The sequence below is a fragment of the Homo sapiens genome, chromosome 22 (genome assembly GCF_000001405.40).
Source record: "Homo sapiens chromosome 22, GRCh38.p14 Primary Assembly".
Taxonomy (NCBI): domain Eukaryota; kingdom Metazoa; phylum Chordata; class Mammalia; order Primates; family Hominidae; genus Homo; species Homo sapiens.
In genome coordinates, this window is record NC_000022.11 from 25,849,027 (window position 1) to 25,870,973 (window position 21,947).

Below are 21,947 nucleotides of genomic sequence, written 5' to 3' on the forward strand. Positions count from 1 at the left end.
GCACAGCCGCAGAGGAGGGAGACAGATAATGTCACAAGAGAAGAGGGGGATGGTCACAGCCAGTGGCTGGTCCCCCACACTTAATCGATTCTATTTGGCTGCTTGGCAGGAAGTGCTGGGCCTTTGCAGGCACCATGGGCCTGGGTCAGACTGTTAGAATGCCTGTGCGCACGCAGGGTCAGGGTGTCCCGTTCCTGTGTTCACGTGACCTCACGACACCATCTCTGTTCTCAGCACAGCCTAGCTCAGCCATGATGAGCTTTCCAACTAAGCGAAGGGTTGATATCTCATGGTAGAAATGTCCAATTTCTGTCTCCTAGACCTGGTTCATTTCCTCTTTTTATTTCTATTGTAAGTCATGTTTGTCTCTTTCACACTCACATGAGATAGATTTGTATGCATACACAGATACGTCAAATATTTATTATTTGGAATCTGTGCATATATAATATATATATGCATATATACACATGCATGTGTGATGCATACTCATGCATGCTATTGAGTACCTACTACGTACTAGACACTGTGTTGTCACCTATACTAAATGAGATCATTTTTGCTGTGCTAAAGGTATGTAGTAAACATTCATTCAACATTACCTATCGTGCAGCCTGGTAGGCACAGCTCCAACTCTGGAGGGAAATGGTTTGGCCTTGATTCTGGCCACCACCTCTCACCAGCCGTGTGACCCCAGGAAATTCCCTAGAGCTTATCTCCCTGTCCTCTCCTATAATAGCTCATATCGCTGAAGGCTGCTATGGGGCTGGGTGCGTCAATAAGACAATAAAGCTTAGAAAAGTGGCAGGTTGTGGAAGAACACATAATACCCATTAGCCACTTTTACTATAATTGTCATCGCATTTAATCCTCATAGTGACCATGTGAAGATAGATCTTGTTATCTCATCTGACAAGTGAAGAAATTGAATCTCAGAAAGGTGAATCAGTTGTCCCAGTCATGGGGCTCATAAGCACAGAGACGGGACATGAATGCAGATAGGTGTGCCCTAAAGGAGGCTGGTAACCTCCCAGGTCCCCCATCTCTGTGCTGTCTGCATCCTTCAAAGCTGGTCTGAGACCCTCCTCTTCCCCAGGAAGTCTTCCAGGATTAGCCACACAAACAATTGCTGTTCTTCCTAGTTGATGCATCTGGCTTATTGTGAAGTCTCAAAAGTGGAGTGAGATTTTACCATACCTTTTCTGATCCAGTCACTTGGGGGGTCTTTTTTAAGCAGTTGAGGCTCTTCTTGTACCCAGGGAAGAGTCTAAACCTCGAGACCTGGAATTTGCGCTCAATTTCCTTTGGGACCTGGTCTCTGCTCGTCTTTGGCTACTCTCCGCTGCCTGGGTTTGAGTCCCAGCTGAGACAGTTACTATTTTGTGTTGTGTAACTAGGTGAATTCATCTCTCTGGGGCTCAATTTCCCCTTTTGTAAAATGAGGATGATAACATAGGCCCATGAGTGTCTATAACACGAGGAAGTTGTTACCCTAGTGATTTGCACACATAAGCTCTCAGTAAATGCTGGCTGTTACTGTGGACTATAAAATAATTTTTTTTCTTTTTTGGGACAGTGTCTCGCTCTGTCACCCAGGCTGGAGTGCAGTGGCACGATCGTGGCTTGCTGCAACCTCTGCCTCCTGGGCTCAAGTAATTCTCCCACCTCCAGAGTAGCTGCGACTACAGGAACGCACCACCACGACTGGCAAATTTTTGTATTTTTTGTAGACACCGTGCCCAGCCTTGGAATGTATCTTATACTTCCCTGTTCTAGGTCTTGTCTGTACAGCCCCCTCTGCCTAGACTTCTCTTCCATACCAAGTTATTTTGGAAAACCCTATGGCTTCTTCAAAAACTGAATCTAATGTCATTTTCTCCCAACAGCTTTTCAGGTGCCCCTTCTCTTCCCAGTTCCCCACATAGAAGGATGCAGTTGCGTCCACCCTGCATGGTAGACTTACAAATGCCCTTAGATACTGCCCAATGCAGCATGCTTCACATACAGTGTATGGGGTGGTAATATGTGTTAGACAAAACACTTTCCTTTGTCAAACGGGTTTGGGAACCTCTGGGCTAACGTTGGGAAACTCAAGGCTTATCAGGCATCTCCCCTGCATGAGTTCTCAGAGCCTTTGACTTGGATGCTGACATGGCTCATGGACCTTCCAAGAGGCGGATGAGTGTGCAGCTTTTTCAAACTTTCAGTGGAGCATTTTATAGGGTTCGTGTTCTCAGGAACACCTCTGGGAAGTGCCAATCAAATATAGTCTCTTAAATTAACAAATGGAGAAACTAAGGTCCCAAGAGATGAGTCCATGCAGCAAGTTAGTAGCCAGGCTAGGAAGCAGGACCCTGCACTCCTGTCTAGGGGTTTAGGGAACTGGGCTGGGTCTTCTCATCTGGACTCTGTGCTCTTCTCCTGCCTGCTCCTACCTCCCTAGGCTATGCTGACCACATGGGGCTCACTCGCTTCCGCCGGCAATTCCAGGTGCTGGACGCTCCACTCCTGAAGAAGCTCATGTCGACCTCCGAGGGAATAGATGAAAGGAAGGTAGGTGGAGCACATGCGAGAGGGGTGAAGGCCCTAGATATGGATATGTTGGTTATTGGACATGTTCCAAGGCTGGGCACGGTGAGTGGCTCATGCCTGTAATCTCAGTGCTTTGGGATACCCAGGTGGGTGGATCACTTGAGTCCAGGAGTACAAGACCAGCCTGGGCAATATGACTTTGACTAAGGTCCAGTGGGCTCATGTTCCATAAGGGATTGCCCCAGGGGGCATCTGGACCAGCTGGAATCTGAAAGCAGGACCATGGGGGCAGTGCTGAGGGCAGCATGAGGTTTCACTCAAATTCTTGCTCTAGACCAAACCCCCACAACAATGTCACTTGGGACCCGACTCAGCCCAGAATGACCCTTCTGACCCCTAGATAAGGAACTTTAGGAAAAGAATAAGAATAGAGTCATGAGAAGAGAGCATCCCAGCTAAAAGGGACCCTAGCAAGGTGAAAGGTCATCATTTGCAAAGTGTGTTCCATTCAGCACCAGCACCCTGGGGTGGTCTATGAAAAGAGGGCTTCAGGGTCCAAAATGTTTAGGAAATATTTACATCAGGGCCCCATGTTTGAGAATTCTGATGAACATCACTCCTTAGGGCCTTTGCACGAGCTGTTTTCTCTGCCTGGAGCACTCGTTCCCCGAATCTTTGCGTGGCTGGTGTCATCTTGCTATTCAGATCCCAGCTCAGATACCATTCTTCATCACATCCTCTTGTTTTGATGTTTATGTAGCACTTATCTGAAATAATGTGAATCTCCTCTGTGTTTTCTGGCTTACAGCAAGAGCTCAATAATGTTTTTGTTGAGTTAATGAATGAATGAATGAATGAATGAATACCCAGACCTAACTTTGTATTGTTGTCCCTGTGTGTCTTCTTTCTCCAACTACACCGTAAACTCATGGAATCTCATCTCTACTTCCAGTGCCAAACTTTCAATAAATGTTTCTCTTGAGAATGGCCACAGGCTTATCGATGATTAGAGAGCTTGTTAGAATTTGCAAAGCCCTATTTCATCTTCATAACAGCCCTGCAAAAGAAGAGCTATTACACTCCATTTACAAAAGAGAACACCACGTTTCTTAAGATGAAGTGGCACTCCTGAGGCCACACAGCCAGGCATTTGTGGGTTTGCTCCTTGGACTCAAGTTTCTCAATTCCAGGGGAGGATAGTTTAAAGAGCATAGTTCATAAAGGGAGGTACTTCAAACTGACTTGAATTTGATTCCCAGCTGGGGCTGTGTGAATGTAAACTGGTTATGTCATCTTTCTGCCTCAGTTTCCTCATGTGTAAAGTGGGAAGGACCACAATGCAGAAAATACATAGGGGATCCACATAATTTCAGGATAAGTGCTACAAAAACTAATTAAACAAGAGGATGTGATGGAGGATGATAGCTGAGCTGGGATCTGAATAGCAAGATGAAAGAGTACTCCATGAAACTCGATGGAGTGTTCTGAGGATGACATGTAATAGTATAGTTCATGTACCTTACACAGGTCCTGGGACATAGTAAGGGCTCAATATACATTAACCACCATCATCAACATCAGCAGCAGCACCATCAATATCATCATCCTCTTTCAAATCCAGGGCGATGACACACAAGCCTCACAGACCATGTGTTCACAATCCTGTTGCAACTGCATGTGCCTGCGTGTGCCTGAGATCATCAGCACTGCAGTCCTCAATGAATGAGTCAGAAGACTAGATGTAAAGTCACAATTCTTAGGTGTCTTCTTAGTTCTTCTTTGCAGTGGGTACCAGGGCACAGGCCACTTTCAGTAGACAAGGCAATGCCTTCTGCAGGGCCCTCCTAACTCACTATGGAGGGGACATCACCCCCAGATGTCTGTGGCACAGGGCTGTCCCTTCTCTGGGTAGTGGCCCATTTTGGAAGCCATGAAATTCTGCCTGACTTGGTGCCATCAACCACTCTGTAGCAGTCTTCGTTCATGGGGTTCCTTATTCTTGGTCTCTGAAAATTTGACTTCATTCAGAGGGGCTGAATGGAGCCACTGAGAGGGTCTTGGGCTCCTCTGTGGTTGAAAATGGTGCAGGAGTCAGGTGTGGGGGAGTTTTTTTGTGGAGGCAAAGGGTGTAGCATATGGAAGTGTTTCTACTCTGAATGAGTCAGCAGTTCTCTGTTGTAGCCAAACCAAAACCACCTCCATACACGCTAGAGGCCTCAGAAAATGGAAAATTACAAGGAGAATGGACTTGGTTGGGAATTTTTGCTTCTTCTTATTCTTTTTTTATTTGCTCACAAATTTTATTTGCTGCAGCATAGAATTTTGGTAGCAACGAAAAGAAACATCATCCTGCCTCTTATGAAAAAACTGATAAATATTCATTTGCCAGGCCACATGATATGCCATGAATTATACATGAACACGTGCTTGGGTGGGCAAACTATCAGTTTCTGTGTGCAAAGCAGTTAAGACCTCAGGATTTAATAAGACAAGGTTGACAGCTAGAAAAGGTCAATATTGTCATTAGACACTAGACGGCAGCAGAGGGGATTCATTGTCAGGGTGTAAAATGGGTCTTGGTGAAGTCCCCTGTGGGTCTAACATGTGGGGTCTGAATGTTGGTGTTTCATGCCAAGACTGTTTCCCAATGAAGTACTCTCATTTGGTGGGTACCTGATGGATATATTGTGTTCCTGAAACAAAAATAGCATATGTCTTTTATCACAGATGCATAAACTCTCATTATAAAATATCAGACATACTATGAAAAGGTTACAGAACCATGAGCTAAGACAGTATTCAAAATATAATTCCCACTCTGGGAATCATCCTCATTTCACAGCGTAGGCAGCTGAGGCCATGACCACCCAGCCAGGTAGTAGTAGAGCTGGGATTTGAACTCAGGCTCTCAGATTCCTGACATAGGGCTTAAAAAAAAATTATGGTAAAATACACATAGCATAAACTTTACTGCCATAACCATTTTTAAGTGTGTTGATCAGTGGTATTAAGTACATTCATATTTTTGAGCAACAATAAGCACCATTCATCTCCATAACTTTTTCGTCTTGCAAAATTGAAAGTTGGTACCCATTAAACAATAATTCCCGATTCCTCCTCCCCTCAGGCTCTGGCCATCATCATTCCACTTTCTGTCTCTATAAATCTGACTATTCTAAGTCCATCATAGAAGTAGAATCATGCCACATATGTCCTTTCATGACTGGTTAATTTCACTTTGCATAATGTCCTCAAGGTTCATTCATGTTGTGGCAGGTGTCAGAATTTCCTTCCTGAGGCTGAAAAATATTCCATTGTGGATGTATACCTTATTTTACCTGTCCATTCGACTGTCAGTGGATGTTTGGGTTGATTCCATGTTTCCTTTTCAACTTTTATTTTAAGTTCGGGGGTACACATGCAGGTTTGTTGTAACAAACTTGTGTCATGGGGGTTTGTTGTACAGATCATTTCATCACCCAGGTATTAAGCCTAGTACCCATTAGCCCATTAGTTATTTTTCCTGATTCTCTCCCTCCTCCCATCCTTCCCCTCCAACAGGCTCCAGTGTGTGTTGTTCCCCTCTATGTGTCCATTTGCTTTCATCATTTAGCTCCCACTTATAAGTGAGAACATGTGGTATTTGGTTTTCTGTTCCTGCATTAGTTTGCTAAGGATAATGGCCTCCAGCTCCATTCATGTTTCTGCAAAGGACGTTATCTCATTCTTTTTTTTTTTTTTTTGAGATGGAGTCTTGCTTTGTTGCCCAGGCTAGAATGCGGTGGCACGATCTTGGCTCACCGCAAGCTCTGCCTCCCGGGTTCACACCATTCTTCTGCCACAGCCTCCTGAGTAGCTGGAACTTCAGGCGCCCGCCACCACGCCTGGCTAATTTTTTGTATTTTTAGTAGAGACGGGGTTTCACCATGTTAGCCAGGATGATCTCGATCTGACCTCGTGATCCGCCCACCTCGGCCTCCCAAAGTGCTGGCATTACAGGTGTGAGCCACTGCGCCCGGCCCTCATTCTTTTTTTGTGACTGCATAGTATTCCATAGTGTCTATGTACCACATTTTCTTTATCCAGTCTATCACTGATGGGCATTTAGGGTGATTCTATGTCTTTACTATTGCAAATGGTGCTGCAGTGAGCATACATGTGCATGTGTCTTTATAATAGAAGGATTTCTATTCCTTCAGCTATATGCCCAGTAATGGGGTTGCTGGGTTGAATGTACAAATATCTCTTGAAGACCCTACTTTCTTTCTTTTTTTTTTTTTTGAACTCTTGTTTTAGGTTCAGGGGAGGTACACATGCATGTTTATTATCTAGGTAAATTTCATGTTACAAGGGTTTGGTGTACAGATAAGTTCATCACCCAGGTAATAAGCATGGTACGCAATAGGTAGTTTTTCAGTCCTCACCCTCCTCCCACTCTTTACCCTCCAGTAGGCCCTGGTGAGACCCTGCTTTCAGTTTTTTGGGGTATATACCCAGAAGTGGAATAGCTGGATCATATGGTAATTCTATTTTAAATTTTTTGATGAGCTGCCATACAGTTTTTTATAGCAGCTGTACCATTTTGCATTTCCACCAATACTGCACATGGATGGCAAGTTCTCCACATTCCTGCCAATGTGTTATTTCTTGTTTTGTTTTTTTGATAGTTGCCATGCTAATGGGTGTGAGATAGTGTCTCAATGTGGTTTTGATTTGCATTTTCCTCATGATTAGGGGTGTTGAGCATCTTTTCATGTTCACACAGGAGTTGAATAGAAGCCCTCTGAGGGCAGGCAAAGTATTTAGTGCAGTTCGTTACAGGACATGCCATTCATGGATATTAACTTTAAATAATTATCATTAATTTCATCCAACTTTAACCAAGTGCCTGCTTTTCACCAGATCCTGTGCTAGGCACCAGCAACTTCCATACAGAGCTGGCTTTGGGACACCCCAGGAGATGCCACTAAAACATTTGATGTTTCCAAGGGAGGTGAGAGTGGGGCACTCAGGGAAGACATTTCAGAAGTAGGTGATGCTTGAGATGAGGTTTGTGAAACACTCTGGAGGAACTGAGTAGGAGAAAGGTTACAGGACATTCTCATGTTGGGTACAGGATTGCAAAGATCTGGAGTCATGGAGGTGCATAGATAGTTTCGTGGTGCTGGAGCATAAAAGATGCCAAGTGCCAAGTAAAGGGGCTGAGGAGTTTGACAGAAGCAAATTCTGGGTTCTTGTTAGCCAAGTTAGAGAGTCTGGGCTTTATCAGGTGTTCAGTGATGCTCCTCTGAAGGGTTTCAGCAGGGGCGTGGCATAGCAGACCTGATCTTTGTGACTTGAACTGGCTTCAGCAAAATTATGAAGGAAGCGAAGTCCATGCTGCCCATTCCATGGTCCTCTCTAGGAAGCAGTGTCCTCTTGCTGACCTCTGGCTATTCCAGAGGCCCCTGTCTCCTCTAGACACCCAGGCACATACTGAAGCCTCCCAAATGACCCTGTCTTCTCCCTGTAATCATCTTCAGTTCCATTCCTGTCTCCCAGGCTACCTCCTCTGGTTAGATGATGCTTTAACCTACACCAAAGCCTACATAGAGTGAATACAAGGGTGGAATCTCAGGCAGGTCAGTGAAGGCACTCTTTCAGCTCACCTTGGCTACGTCCCAGATTCTGGTCCCTTCCATTTTTCTGCTGCTGAAGCAGGAGTTGCCAAGTCTATCTGATCGATGTGAGGAAACCCTTGGGCCTGCCCTCCTCCCCGCAAAGTGTCTACAGTGTTGATTGATTTTAGCCGGCAAAATCTCTGTCCCTGAGGACTTGATCTGAAGAACATAATTAAGGGCTGTCAATCCGTCTTCTCAAAGGCAGCCACTGTTATTCTGTCTCCCACCCTGGCAGACACTCCCAGTTTCCTGTGAATTCATCTCAAGAGTCTTTATCTGCTGGGAAGAAACCCTTATGAGCCCATGGCCAGGGAGGGAGCTGTCTGCTCTCTAGGTGCTGAATAATTATTCATGGGCTCCCACCACCTTCGCTCCTGAAATTTATTCATCATCCCTTTCTTGTTCACCTTGCTGTCTCCCTCCAGTTTGGGTCTATTGTTTTGTTTGTTTTTTGAGACAGAGTCTCGCTCTGTTGCCCAGGCTGGAGTGCAGTGGTGCTATCTCGGCTCACTGCAACCTCTGCCTCCTGGGTTCAAGTGATTCTCCTGCCTCAGCCTCCTGAGTAGCTGGGACTACAGGCATGCGCCACCACGCCAGGCTAATTTTAGTACTTTTGTAGAGACCTGGTTTCGCCATGTTGGCCAGGCTGGTCTTGAACTCCTGACCTCAGATGATCCAACCACCTTGGTCTACCAAAGTGATGGGATTACAAGTGTGAACCACTGTGCACTGTGAGCTGGGTCTATTGTTTTAATTATTTTACATGTTTTCCACTCAATTTTAATCAACCCAATGTAATTGGTGTGTGCATGTGCATTTGGTTTTTGGATAGTTTCTGCCTTTTTCCAGGCATTTCGTTTATAGGCTTGAGCATAAATAGTTAAAAAACAGACACAGTTAGCACCCTTATGGAATGATTTGGCCACTTGTGTGAGAGGCTCAGTGGTTAAAGTATGTGATTTAGAGTCAGATAGACTTGAGTTCAAATTGTGTCTTCTTCCATATCTCTCTCTATGAATCCACGCCCTTGATACTTGATAGCTGTATGACCATAGGCAACATATAGTATGGCATAGCAAAGTGTCTGGTACATTATAGGAACTCAACATATGGAAGCCATTGGACCATGGTGTGGGCTTCATGGGGGCAGGTGCTATATGGACGGCAGCCAAATGGTTCACAGGATGAGTATCCTATTCCATAGACACAGATTCTTCATATCAAACTGTTCATTGAGGAGTGAGTTGGGGAAGCACTTTGCAGCTATGGCTCTTCATTATTTCTGGAGTCTCTCTGCCTGTCTGGCATATACAGCCAAATGTGAGATGTCAGCCCATATGCTTTTCGGGTACACTCTTCTTGAACATTGGAGAGAAAGCTCTTTGCAAAATTCTAGGAAACAATGGAACTCTGTAAGTGGGGGCTGTGGGTTGGATGTGACTGAAATCAGTTAGACCCCAAAATCTGGGCTCAATTTGACACAGGCTATCGGAATTTTCCTACTTAAGGTGGAGAGATCTCAGGTTTGCCAAGAGCCATGTTTGCTGAGGTGTAATGTTGACTTACAGTGAAGACGATGACCCATCTATGCTCAATGCCTGGGATGCTTCACTGAATGAATCTTACTAGTTGTGAATTCGAAGTGGGATAGCTTAACAGGTTAAGGATACAGATTCTGGAGTCAGGCTTTCTGAGCACATACTGTGTCTAATCTGCTCACTGGCTGTGTGACATTTGACAAGTCACTCAGCCTTTCTTTGACTTAGTTTTATTATCTTAAAATGGCATACTAATAGTTTCTAATACTGTTGATAGGAGGATTGAGCAATTTAACGTATTGACATGGTGACTTTCATATACACAGAGTAAATAATAAATGTAATCAATTATGATTTTGTTGTAAAAATAGTAATTTTACTATTTCTATGGATTTTAATGCCCCTTCTATACAATGAAGGCTTTAATATTTGCCTTAAAAACCTCAAATAATTGTTAAGATAAAATATTTTTTGATTAATAGTAGTAGATATTTAATCAACTGATCATCTCTAAACTACATTTGGATAGTTTTTGATTTTCTGACTATTATGAAAAAGGATGTTGTGAACATTTGCATATCAGTCTTTGCACAGAAACATGTTTCTACTTTTTTTGGGTGCATTCTTGGAGGAGAATTGCTAGTTTATATGGTAAATTTATGTGTAACTTTTAAATATAACTTTTAAAGAAACTGTCAAGTTATTTTTCAAAGTGGCTCTACCATTGTTCATCCTCACTGGCAATGTGTGAGGGTTTCATTTTCTATCCTTATCAATACTTGGAATTGTTTGCCTTTTTGATTCAAGCCATTCTGTTGTGTGCAAAGCGGCATCTCATTGTGGTTTTAATTTGCATTTTCCCTAATGATGTTGACTTTTTTTTTTGCATGTGCCTAGTAGCCATTTTATCTCTTTTTTTGTGAAACTCTATTTTTTTTGCCCATTTTAATTAGGCTGTTTATCTTATAGAGTTGTACTAGTTCTTTATTTGTTCTAGACATAATTATTTATCAGATGTATCTTTGAAAATATTTTCTTCCAGCCTGTGGCTTGTCTTTTCATTTTCATAATGATGCACAGAGATTTTTATGAAGTTCAGTTTACTAATTTTTTAAGTGACTGGTGCTTTTTTCATATCTAAGAACGCTTTACCTACCCCTCGGTTACAGAGATATTCTCCCATTTTCCGCTACAAGATTTGTAGTTTTAGCTCCTCCGTGTAGACATTTGATCTATTGTGTGTTAATTTTGTGTATGGTGTAACATACATGCCTATATTCATCTTTCTGCATATGGATATTCAATTGTCCCAGTACCATTTGTTGGAAAGACTATTATCATTTCTCCCAGCGAATTGTGTTGGAACCTTTGTCAAACATTTATTGGCCATAAATAAAGAGTTTATTTTCGTAATCTAAATTCATTCTATTGGTCTGACTGTACTAATTAGTAGCATCTCTTTCTTTCTGCCTCTTTATTCCTTGGTCAGTGTAAATAAACTTCATCAGTTTTGTCTTTTCAAAGGACAAACTTTTGATTTCACTGATTTTTTTTCTCTGTTGTTTTTCTGTTTTCTTTGGTTCTATTGTCTTCTATTGATTTCCACTCTATGTTACTTCCTTCCTTTCACTTGATTTGAGTTTTCTCTACTTTTCCTGGTTTCTTAAAAAGGAATCTTGCTCAAATTATTGGTTCAAAATCCTTCTCCTCTTCCAATATACATGGTTAAAGCATACATTTTCCTCAAAGTACTACTTTGGCTGCATCACACAAAAATTTTCATTTAGTTCAAGATATTTTCTAATTCCTAGTGTGATTTCTTCTTTGGCCCGTTGTTTATTAAGAAGTGTATTAATTTCTACATATTTGGAACTTTCTCACCTTTTTTCTTGTTGGTTTCTAATTTAATTCCATTTTAGTTTGAGAACATATGTTATATGATTTCAGTACTTTTAAATTTATTTTTGTTTGTTTTATTGAGACTTATTTTGTGGCCTAATATTATATATCTAGGAGAGTGTTCAAAGTGTGCTTATAAAAAACATGTATTCTGTGGTTGTTGAGTAGTCTATAGATGTTAGTTGGGGCAATTTGGTTGATAGTATTGTTCAAGTCTTATATATCATTGCTATTTTTTTTTTTTTTGAGACAGGGCAGGCTCTTGCTCTGTTGCCCTGGCTGGAGTGCAGTGGCACGATTATGGCTCACTGCAGCCTTGACTTCCTGGGCTCAAGCGATCCTCCTATTTCAGCCCCCTGCGTTGCTCAGACTACAGGCATATGCCACCACACCTGGCTGATTTTGTTTTTTAGAGATAGGGTCTTACTGTGTTGCCTAGTCTGGTCTCGACCTCCTGGGCTCCAGCAATCCTCTGGCCTCAGTGTCCCAAAGTCCTGGGATAACAGGCGTGAGCCACTGTGCCTGGCATGTTGCTATCGTTTATGTTTAATTGTTCTGTAAATTATTGAGAGTCAGGTATTACGCTCTCCAACTATTAATGTTAAATTTTCTATTTATCCTGTCATTCTATGCATTTTTGCTTCACATGTTTTGGGGCTCTGTGGTTAGGTACAGACATATTTATAATGCCGTATCTTCTGGATGGATTAACCCTTTGTTGCTATAAAATGTCTCCCTTTGTTTCTAGTAATGATTTTTGTTTTCAATTTTAAACAAAATTTAAAACAAAATTTGTCTGATATTAGTATAGCCACTCCAGCTATCTTATGTTTAGTGTTTACATGATAGATCTTATTTCATTTTCCCCCTTCCAACCTATCTTTGTATCTAACTGCATCTCTTACAGATGGTATATAGTTGAATCTTTTTACAAAATCCAGATTGACAATCTCTGCCTTTTTATTAAGGTGTTCAATATATTGATCTGTAATGTGATTTACATTATAGCCATTTTGCTATTTTCTGTATGGGCTTCACGCCTTCTTTTAGTCCTATCCTCCTTCACTTCCTTCTTTTGTGTAAACTAGGTATTTTCCAAGGGGCCATTTGAACACCCCTTCTAGTGATTGTTCTACGGTTTACAATATGTATTGTAATTCAAGATGCTCCACTTCAGATTAATACTAACTTAATTCTGGGAAAATATAGAACCTTTGCTCCAATATAGCTCACGTCTTCCTCCTACCTTAGTGATACTACTGTAATACACAGTCCACCCTCCATATGTATCTGTGGGTTCTATATCCATGAACTGAACCAACAACTGACTGAAAATATTTGGAAAAAAAAGGATGGTTGTGTCTGAACTGAACATATACAGACTTATTTTCTTGTCACGGTTCCCTAAACAACACAATATAATAACTATCTGTATGGCATTTTACATTCTATTAGGTATTATAAGTAATCTAGAGATAAAGTATACAGAAGGATATGAGTAGGTTATTTGTAAATACTGTGCCATTTTATATAAAGGACTCATGCATCTGCAGATTTTTGTATCCTTTGGCGGTCCTGGAACCAATTCTCCATGGATACTGAGGGATAACTGCAGATCACATCTATATATGTTAAAAAATCAACAATAAAGCTTTATGATTTTCTTTTATTTAATCTTATGTCTTTTAGGTAAGTTAAGGGAAGCAAAGGAAAAAAATGAAGATTTTTACATTTTCCTATGTGTTTTTGTTTTCCCATGCTCTTTAGTCCTTAAGTATTTGAATTACGTGTGATATGATACCTTGCATCCTGAAGGACTTCCTTTAATGTAAGTGAAACAGTAAGGCAGGTCTCATAGCAATAAGTTTTCTCAGCCTTTGTTTACCTGAGAAGGTCCTTACTTCACCTTCATTTTTGAAGAATAATTTTGCCAGATACGGAATTCCTGATTGACATGTTTGTTTTTTCCTTTCAGCACTTCTAACATGTAATCTCACTGCATTCTGGACTTCATTGTCTCTGAAGATAAGTCAGCCACTAATTGTTTTGATGCTTCCCTTTACACAATAAGTTATTCCTCTCTTTCTGCTTTCAAGATTTTCAATAGTTTATAATAAATCTTGGGGTGGCTTCTTTGTGTTTATTCTATTTGGAATTCAATGACCCGCTAGGATGCATAGACTTTTTTTTTGGGGGGGGGTGTCAAATTTGGGAAGTTTCTAGCCATCATTTTTCATACTTTTTAAAATCTTTGTCTTTCTCCTCTTCTTCTGAGACTCCTGTTGTGCATATATTGGCACGCTTGATTTGCCATACATATCTCTGAGGCTCTATTTATTTTTCCTCCTTCCTATTTCTCTCCGTTCTTCAAATTGGATAGTTTCTATTGATCTATTTTCAAGTTTGCTGACTCTTTCATTTGACATCTCAGATCTGTTGTTGAGTCCCTTTGGTGAATTTATCATTTCAGTTAATTTACTTTTCAAATGAAGAAGTTCCATTTGGATCTTTTAAAAATAATTTCTATCTTGTTATTGACATTTTTTATTTAAGGAGTCATTATTATTACACTGTCCTTTAATTCATTAAGCATTGTTTCTTTTAGTTCTTTGAACATACTTATAATAGCTGTTTTGAAGTGTTTGGCTGTTAAGTCCAAATTCTGAACCCACAAAGATACTTTCTACTGTTTCCCCTCACCCTTAGTTTGGATCATAATTTTACGTTTATTGCACATCCTGTCATTTTTGCTGAAGACTGGACATCTTAGATGATACATTATAGCAAGTCTTCATTCTGATCTTTTCTTAATCATTTAGTATTATAACTTGTTTTGACTAAAATTACAGGATCTGTCTCCTCATGGTGTGGGACCACTGATATCTCTGCCCAATTTTTAAAAATTTGTGTTTTTATTTTAAATCTGACTTCCCAGGAGTTGCGCCTATGTCTGCATAGCTTAGAGTCAGCAGAGGTTGTTATCAAACATCTTGAATATTTGAGGCTTTTCCATTTTCCTGTTGGATCTGTGTGGGGGTTGGGAAATGTACTCAGCATTCAGGCAGTTCCCAGTTATGCTTCAACCTCTACGTTCTGTTTGGCCCTTTCACATAGTTTCTGCCTGTACACATGGCTTCATGTTCAAATAAATAGGGATATGTAGATAGTGAGGGCCTTTTCCAGTCTCTCTTATTCTTGTGTTTAGCCTGGAGCCAGGAATATGTGGGAACTTATCAAGCCCACTGTGGCTGTCCTATTTCCTGTGTCTCCTGTTAAATTTCTGGCATGTTTAAGGTCCAGTGCTTGCCTCAATCAGGACAACAACCTTAGGCTTAGCTGTGCCATTGGCCTTCCTCATTTGTTTCCTGCCAAAATTGCTACTGTTTCTGACAATGCTCCCAGGTGTGGGTTTTTTCCATGCTTTGCTCCATATAGGTGAGCCCCTTCTGGAAGCAAAGCTGTTGTTTTTCACAGCTGCCTCACCCTGGAAGAACTACTGCAGAGAGAGAGAGACAGAGCTGGGGTGGGTGGTGAGTGGGAGAACCTGTAATCAATATTGCCACAAACTCTCACTGTTTCTACCTGAGATCCAATAGGTTTTCTTGAATAAATGCTTCTCATTTTGTTGTATCCCATTGTCCAATTTCCAGAGTATTGAACCTGTGGTTGTTGGAAATTTTATCCATATTTATCTTGTTTTGGGGGGAGGGGAGAGGATTTATTAAGCTCCTTCCTCCACCATTCTGGAAATATCTCCCTTATATGCTACTTATATGACCTTATTAAATCTCCACTACATCCTTGTGGGACAGGCGTGATTACACCATGTTGTAGAAAGCAAACTGAAGACCAGAGAGGAGGAGAGGCTTGCTCAGGGTCACACAGCTAGTGAGTGGTGGAACTGATCCCAGCGTTGGAGGGTGGAGAAAAGATCAGGAGCTGATTCCTTGGGTTCAAACCCCCTACCATCACTTCCTAAACACGTGAGCTTTGCCAAGTCATTTAATTGCACTGGGCCTCACTTTCTTCCTCTGTAAAATGGGCATGAATTAGTACCTGCTGCAGAAAGTTGGAAACAAAACAAGTTATGTGTAAAGCAGTTGGAGCAGGGCTCAGACTCAAAAACAGACTGAAAACTGTGTTTTCTTGGAGAAAAATGGCCACATTTGACTCACGAAAAAGCAGCATTTTATGCTGCAAAGGATAAGTTTCAATTACCTGGGCAATTCCAGTACATGGAAGAGGTGATTCCATAAAGACACAGGACAAGGAGGAATTTCTTAACAGTCACTTGGATCCTTGCTGTGTCTTTTTCCACCAACTGGTTGTTGGACAATGATTATGTTATGTTGAACTAAATGAAGTGATTGATATTTGACCTAAACCAATGACAGTTTCGTATGGTTCAATCTAATTGTAACGTTAAATGGGGATAAAAATAACAGCATTTAAGTGCAAAGTAATTTATAAAGTCCTTTTCATATAGTTTCAATTAATTCTCTGAATTGCTGTATGGTCCAGGCAGGGAATATTCTCACCACTTTGCAGGTGGGGAAGAGGGTCAGTTGTATAATTTAATACCTGCACTTACCCACTCATGCCACTGTTTGAATCCAAGCTTTGTTGTATGTAAAATGAGATCAACAGAACAGAATATCTGTGTTAGGGCTAATGTTCTCAGCTACATAGACATCTAAAGAGTTCTCAGAAAGCAAAGAGCTGGAAAAGGAGTCTCAGTTATGGTGGGTTGAGCATGTGCTTTGGCAGGGTTTGAAGTGTATCTGAGAAATGGGGGCCTTCATTCATGTTTTGCAGCACTGTTCCAAGGTTTTGACCAAAACAGAGGTGACTATAAGGATGAAATAACTCCTAACATTTATTGAGTGCTTACTATATGCCAGGTGCTATGTAGCCCTGCACAAGCACAGCCTCAGAATTTTCTGAAACAGGTGCCGTTATTGTCCCCATCTTTCTGAATGGAGTCTGAGGCTCGGAGTAAAGCACTTCCCCAAGGCCACACAGTTTATGGAGTGATAAAACCAAGATCTGAACCCAGATGGATCTAACTCTGGATCATGATTTTTTTTCCCCCAAAACATCTGCCATAGACTTTACCTCCAAGGTACACTTAGAAAAATTTCATTGGTCATATATTTCCTTTTAAAAATTCATCCATCTTATCTTCAGTCAATTTTTTATTGTTTTTTTTTCTTCTTATGTAGAGAAAAAAGGCATTATATTTTGGATATATTGGTTTTATTCATTTCTACCACCTACAGCTCCCTTGGAACATGTTTGGCTAAAATGTGATAAGTGAAACCACCGACATTTTGGAAGAGTGTCATGGAATGTTCTTCCAGGAGGTTGGAAGATGGAGCTTCCTTCCTGATTGCAGTCTGGGACTAGACTATTAATAAGGATTTTTTTTTTGATATCTTAGGAAGTTTTCTGTGATGTCTTTGACCCATGGAATTGAAACTCATTTACTAAATTACTCCAGCCTCATAATACCTTTTGCTTCCTGAGCATTGCAATTACTTTTCTGACAGTTTATTCTTAAAATAGACTTTCTGATTTTCAGTGAGTGAAAGACCAATGAGGGGGTAGTATGAGGGTGGGTGGGAGGGGAATTGGCAGTCACTAAGCAACCAGGCACAACCTGGGTTTATCTGAGAGTCCAAATCTCTGGCTGATTGTTTCAAAGCCTGCACCACTATTTGACAAGGGGAAGATTCCATTAAATGGCGATTAGTCCATGCTGTATCCAGAAATCTCTTTGAGTAAAATTGTTTCTCCTGCATGGGGCTGCTTTTCCTCCCTATGGAATCTCTCTGGTTTGGGTGTTTATTCATTCAGTCATCATATCTATTGGGCTCCTACTGTGTGTATAGAACAGTACTATAGGCTGGGCACAGTGGCTCACACCTGTAATCCCAGCACTATGGGAGGCTGAAGCAGGTGGATCATGAGGTCAAGAGATGGAGACCATCCTGGCTAACATGGTGAAACCTCGTCTCTGTGAAAAATACAAAAATTAGCCGGGCGTGGTGGCACATGCCTGTAGTCCCAGCTACTTGGGAGGCTGGGGCAGGAGAATCCCAGCCTGGTGACAGAGCGAGACTCCGTCTCAAAAAAAAAAAAAAAAAAAAAAAAAAAGAATAGTACTATAGTGCGTACAGAAAACACAGGCTCCTCTGCCATAATGTAGATCAGGCAGGTGAGGTTATTGACCATGTCATTTATTTAGCAAATATTTGTGGGAGTGAGGCAGTCACCAGCAAGAGCAATGAGAGAAGCATAGAGCGGGGAGGCTATCACAGGAGGACTTAGTGAATTACTAGGCACGCAGTACTGTTCAAGACATAGCTGTGGCCAGAAAGAACTTAATGGGAATCTGTCTCTGCCCTGTGTGCAAACTTGTAATCTTGAAAAAAAGCCCCTTCATTTAGTTTTTGTTGTGTGTGTGTATTAAAATATATATAACATAAAAGTTAATCTTAACCATTTTAAGCATACAGTTCAGTGACAGTATATTCTCAGTGTGGTGCAACTATCACAACATCCATCTGCACAACGCTCTTCCTCTTGCAAAACTGAAACGTTATACCCGTTAAACAATAAGCCTTCATTTCCCCCTGTCTCCAACCCCTAGCCACCATAATTCTTTATTCTCCATGAATTTGGTTACTCTAAGTACCTCCTTTATAAGTGAAATCATGCAGTACTTGTCCTTTTGTGACTGACTTATTTGGCTTGGAATAATGTCCTTGAGGTTCATCCATGTTGTAGCATGTGTCAGAATTTCCTTCCTTTTTAAGGCTGAATAATATTCCATTGTATGGATAGACCACATAGTGTTTATCCATTCATCCATCAATGGACATTTGGGTTGCTTCCACATTTTGGGTATTGAGTATAATGCTGCTATGAACACAAATATATAAATATCTCTTCAAGACCCTGATTTCTTTCTTTCTTTCTTTCTTTTTTTTGAGACGGAGTCTCGCTCTGTTGCCCAGGCTGGAGTGCAGTGGTGCAGTCTCGGCTCACTGCAAGCTCCGCCTCCCAGGTTCATGCCATTCTCCTGCCTCAGCCTCCCGAGTAGCTGGGACTACAGGCGCCCGCCACCATGCCCGACTATAATTTTTTGTATTTTCAGTAGAGACGGGGCTTCACCATGTTAGCCAGGATGGTCTCGATCTCCTGACCTCGTGATCCGCCCACCTCAGCCTCCCAAAGTGCTGAGATAACAGCCGTGAGCCACCGCGCCCGGCCAAGACTCTGATTTCAGTTCATTTATGTATATACACACAAGTGGGATGGCCAGATCATCTGGTAATTCTATGTTTAATTATTCGAGGAACCTCTGTACTGATTTCCCTAACAGCTGCATCCTTTATTTCATTTCGTATCTTTGGTTTTCTGCTCTGTAAAATAGGAGGATGAAACAAATTGGTGTGTGTATGAAGGCAGAGTGGATGGCACACAGTAGGTGCTCAGCACCTGCACCTTCCTGTGTGAGGTGGGGCTCTGTTAGCCAAAGCTCACAGACATGTGGGGTCATCCTCCGTCCTGGCGCATCAGCCATCGAGCCAGCTTGACTTTCCCCTTTAGGATCCTCCTACCTTCTATGCTGTCTAACTTCTCTCTAATTTTTTCCCCAGGCCGTGGAGGAGCTCCTGGAGACCCTGGATCTGGAAAAGAAGGCGGTGGCTGTGGGGCACAGCCAAGTGAGTAGAGCTGCTTTCTTACAACATTCGCCCATCACATCAGGGACCCAGAGATGACCTGATTCTTGTCCTACCTCAATTGTCTATTATCTCTGTACGTCTCCTTTTTCCCAAACTGAAGGTAGAGCTAATGATTTTCTGCCCTGCCTATCTTACAAGGTCCTGGAGAGACAATGTCATAATATGAGTTGAAATCACACTGGGAAATATCATTTCTTGGAGGCTTCACTCCTGGGGACCCCAAGTGGTTTGGAGGAATTAGCATTCTGGTCCTCAAGATGACCTTCTGAGTCTCAGAAAGAGCTGCCATAAAACCTGAGAAGAACTGCTCATCTTCACTCACAGCCTTTTAACTTCTGCTTTGCAACCAGCTCTAACACAGCTATAGTCATAGCTGATGAGCAGCAGTAAGGGAAAAGAAAGAAGGGGCTTGAGAGGAAAGCCCGTGATTATTCAGGTTGACAGAAATAGCTTTTCCCAAACTGGTGTTGAGCCCAAAGCTCTTCCAAATATGCTCAGATGTTTAGAACAGAATTTCACACTTCCCCGATATGCTTATATATGCTGAAGTTTTCAAGGTGGGATACATGGTATTTAGGGTTTCTCAAACTATTTGACTGTGGAACCCCCAGCCTTTTGTTTGTGTGGAATACCTAGTACCATCTTCTGGAGCTAGTGTTCCATGGATTATAGTTTGGGAAGTGGGGCACGGAGATTGTAAACTCAAGGACCAAGGAGTGGGGGCAGGGGAAAGGGACACAGTTTAGAAATACAAACTAGAGGCCGGGCGTGTTGGCTCATGCCTGTAATTCCAGCACTTTGGGAGGCCAAGGCGGGCAGATCACCTGAGGTCAGGAGTTCGAGACCAGCCTGGCCAACATGGTGAAACCCCCATCTCTACAAAAAATTTAAAAATTATCTGGGCGTGGTGGTGTGCGCCTGTAATCCCAGCTACTTGGGAGGCCGAGGCAGGAGAATCGCTTGAACCCGGGAGGCGAAGGTTGCGGTGAGCTGAGATCGTGCCACTGTACTCCAGCCTGGGCAATAGAACAATACTGTGTCTCAAAAAAAAAAAAAAAAAAAAAAAAGAAGGAAGGAAGGAAGGAAGGAGGGAGGGAGGGAAGGAAAACTGGAGAGGAACAGACCAAAAGAAAGACTACTCCACACATTTCCCCACCTAGTTACTTACTGGTTGATGAATGCCATCTAAGAAAACTTTGTCAATGGCCTTCCACCTCCAGGAGCTATGTGAGGTGGTGGGAGGGTTCTGCTCTCCAGGAGCCCACCAGGGTGGCATTATTGGCTATTTGTACTTCATGGAGCCCTCCCTATCATATGCATCCGTGAGAGTGGTCCTTTACTCAGGGAGCTCACAGTCATCTACACTGGCTACCACCCCTCAGCCCACCCTAAACACACTAGTGTCTCCCCACTGGCCTCTTGGTCCTGCTAAGGTATATGGCGGAACCTGTTATTCCGCTGTGATCTCAAGATACTTTATCCTGATAGGAGTTGCAGCATCCCAAGTCTTTGAAGCCTTTTTCAATAGAGAGAGTAAACCTGTCAGTTACTGGACTCCCACGCACTATGTGAGGCAACTTCACGTTTTGTTCTTCTTTGTTCCTCACTCACAGTCTTCTGTGAGATATCAAGTGTGTTCCTGCTTTACAGATGAGGAAGCTGTGCCCCTGGGAAATAAGCCTCTTTTCAAGATCCTATCTGTAGCCAAGGGTTCAGACTCCACGCAAACCTGCATTGGTCCAAATGCCAGGGTCTTTTCCGTACACTCTGGGTCCTATTGTTTATGAATGGAAATGCAGTCACGTGTGGCTTAACAATGGGGATACATTCTGAGAAATGAGTGGTTAGGCAATTTCTTCACTGTGGGAACATCACAGAGTGTACTCACACAAACACAGATGGGATAGCCTACCACGCACCTGGGTTAGATGGCACAGCCTATTGCTCCTAAGCTACAAACCTGTACAGCATGTGACTGCACTGAATACTGTAGGCAGTTGTAATACAATGGTAATGACCTGAGTATTTAAACATAGAAAAAGTAGAGTAAGGATCTGAGTATTTAAACACAGAAAAAGTAGAGTAAAAATATGGTATTATAATGTTATGGGCTCGCTGTTGTGTATGCGTCTATTGTTGACGGAAATGTCATTAGGCGGTGCATGACTGTACATGACATATTCTTTACAGATGGATCTTTACGGTCCTGAATCTGTGGAATTGTTCTTCAGCTCCAGGAACTTCATCCTTCTAGACCAGCAGTTCTCAAAGTATGGGCCCTGAACCAGCAGCATCAGCATCGCCCAACAGCTTGCTAGAAACACCCCAGACCTAGTAAATCAGAAACTCTGGAGGGGGGCAGGGCTGGCAATCTGTATAACAAGCCCTCTAGGTGATTCCAATGCACTCTCAAGTCTGAGAACCACTGGTCTAGATAATGACTCAGTTATGTCATAAATATGAAAATCAGTGCCTATGATCCTGGCAGCTCTTGCAGAAGAAGAAAGAAAACAGTCATTACATGCAGTTTACAGTGGCAGGAGTAAGAAGTCTGTACACCTAAACAT

General features: G+C 42.1%; 1 protein-coding gene across 14 annotated transcripts in view; it reads left to right on the top strand.

The window, feature by feature from the left end:
* MYO18B (myosin XVIIIB) overlaps positions 1–21,947 on the top strand; it is a 321,660-nt gene that overhangs the window by 106,839 nt on the left and 192,874 nt on the right. For all 14 annotated transcript variants that reach the window (XM_011530461.3, XM_011530458.3, XM_017029014.2 and 11 more), the window contains 2 exons: positions 2,444–2,553; positions 19,294–19,359. In XM_011530461.3, the coding sequence (XP_011528763.1) occupies positions 2,444–2,553; positions 19,294–19,359 (176 nt within the window). The remainder of the gene's footprint in view (positions 1–2,443; positions 2,554–19,293; positions 19,360–21,947) is intronic.